This window comes from Homo sapiens, chromosome 14 (genome assembly GCF_000001405.40).
Source record: "Homo sapiens chromosome 14, GRCh38.p14 Primary Assembly".
NCBI classification, from domain to species: Eukaryota; Metazoa; Chordata; class Mammalia; order Primates; family Hominidae; genus Homo; species Homo sapiens.
In genome coordinates this window covers 80,054,757-80,057,114 of record NC_000014.9, presented here as the reverse complement: position 1 = coordinate 80,057,114, position 2,358 = coordinate 80,054,757, and the positions used below count along the sequence as shown (strand labels likewise).

Sequence of the window (2,358 nt, the reverse complement as noted above, 5' to 3'; positions counted from 1 at the left end):
ATCTAAGGTTGAATCCAGAGTGAATGTGAATCCAGCTACCTTTCCTTCCAGAAGTTCTTTTTCCCTTTCTTCACCTTCCAGTCTAGTAGACTAGAGGATTCTTCCTGCACACTAACAGGCCAATCTGCAATAATTATTTTCTTTTACTGTTCATTAAAGTAAGTTAAATAATGTAGACATGGACCTACTGAAATTTGAAAGACAGCCTATATGAGGCACAATTGTTCTCTTCATTAAGGTTGGAAAAAGCATGTTGTCTGAAGGAATAAAGCATATCTGAAGATGTGCATAGGACCCTGCTTAGGTTTGTCTGCTGTTAGTCTCACTAAAGAGGGTTAGGGAAGAATCAACCAAGGTCTGATTTTGTTTCCTTTATGGATTTATGAAGATAACTCTTTTTTTAACTGCAAGATTGCCTTTATTTTCAACATTTTATGATTCACCTAGGTCAGCTTGATGCTGTGTTTGTGCTGATGGGGTAAAAACATGAAGATTTCAAGAACAAACGTTTTTGACAATGGCTTCTCTGGCAGAATTAACACAGTGTTCATTGCGCCCATAATGTCTAAATAGACATGTAGAATATGCCTTTGTGAAGGAGACCGACAGGGTGCTCCGCCCTGAGAAAGATGAGAGAGGGAAAGAGAGGACCAAGAGAACCTGGCTCCTTTGAAAACAACTTCTTAGAAGTTTTTGCCCAGGAAAATGTTGGCTTTGACTGCTCTCTAGTGGTGGGCAGTGTTCACTGTCAGCAATTCCTTCCACAGGAATCCCAAGCTGAAGGAAGAGACGGCAAAACTCAAGCTTTTGCTTGGACACCTAGAGCTGAGTTGCAAAGGAGCACACACACACACACACACACCCCAGGCCTGGGGGTGGAGGTAGAAGAGCAACTTTCACTGAGCAGGAAAATGATAATAGAGATAAGAAGATGAAGTCTTCTATGGAAGCTGGAGAAAGGTTTGAGAGGATGAAGAGTTCCATATTCGGAGCCATAGACCTCTCACGGCTGTGCTCACTTTCTTCTTTCCATAATGGTAGTTTCCAAAATTGGAGTTGTGCTGGCTCCAGAGTTTTAGCTGGTGCCTGAGAGCTGACTTCTTGAACAACTCTGCAGAGGATGAAGAAGAGGAAGGAGACATACTTCTTGCTTTCAGGTGCCGTCCCCTTTTCTGGAGGAATTATGTAGGTCTGTTTTATTTTTTTCTCTACCCTACATTACTCAACAAAAGAGGGGAGAGTACCGCCTTGGGAAGAGATGGAGAGAGCCTCTGTTGTCACTCGTCCAGTTTTCCCTAAATCATGTTTTATAGATGACTCAACTGATATTGTGAGCTTTATTTGCATTTAGGGAAAAGATAAGTAAAATCAGTTTTGGAGTTTTCATTTTGTTTTTGGTCCACAGTTAGCATACATCCTGTGTTTGTTTGTTCCTGCTTCTGCACCGATTTTCTATGAAAGCGTATATATTTACATTACCCCTTTAGGTCTCAATGACTACATCTATATAATGGTGGGGTCAGTGGTCAGAGGTTGAGAGGTGGTTGATGTTCTGGACTTCTTTTATCTCTGATATGCCCTGAATATTATGATTCACTGACTCATAGAAGAGAATCTAAGAAAATATCCTGGGTTATGTAAGAAACCATTTGAGTCCTGGCCAGCTAAGCAGCAGTTCACACAGAGAGAAATACTCAAAATAGAGATACCAGGCAAGTGACATATTGGTGACCAGAAGGCACTTCCTTTCAGAAGAGAAGGCAATCAGATCATAGCCTTGCACAGAATAAGGATTCCACAAAAAAATTCCCGTGGTTCCTCCATTTTCTTGATCCACTTTCTTTGTGTCTCTATATGTAAGGCAAAGTGGAGAATTAAAGCAATTATTTGGATAATTCAAGCAGAAAAAAACCTCACAACACCCACATATGCTGCAATTATCTAGACATTTCAGGCAGAAGTGAAGCTCAGAACCAAATTATCAGGATAGTGCTTCAATTCTTCTGAAAAACAGCAATGCTAATTGCATGACACATTCAATGTACTATCACAGAGGACTGATGAGAGAGCAAAATTCTTGCTTGACATGCCTAAAAAGAAGAGCATAGAGTAAAAATATTCCACATCAGTTAAAACTTGGTAGAGAAAAGACAAAGGTAGTGAAATGATTAGTGCTAAAATGGGTTTCAAAGTACAAAAGAAGGCGTTAATAAATACGTCCAGGGACATTGAACAACCAGGAGAAATCAAGGCTGCCAATCAGCAGGCGTAGACATGAAATTGAGGATGATTCTAAAATGGCTGAGACACTGAACTCATGCTTCGAATCTGCTTTTAACAGGAAAAATGAAGCAACAA

General features: G+C 40.2%; 1 annotated feature.

Annotated features, from left to right (window-relative positions):
* Positions 595 to 889: a silencer, noted in NCBI's record as "tiled region #15402; K562 Repressive non-DNase unmatched - State 13:Ctcf". NCBI's record gives its function as "represses a minimal TATA promoter and a strong SV40 promoter by Sharpr-MPRA in K562 cells {active_cell/tissue: K562}" and the evidence as "EXISTENCE:reporter gene assay evidence [ECO:0000049][PMID:27701403]".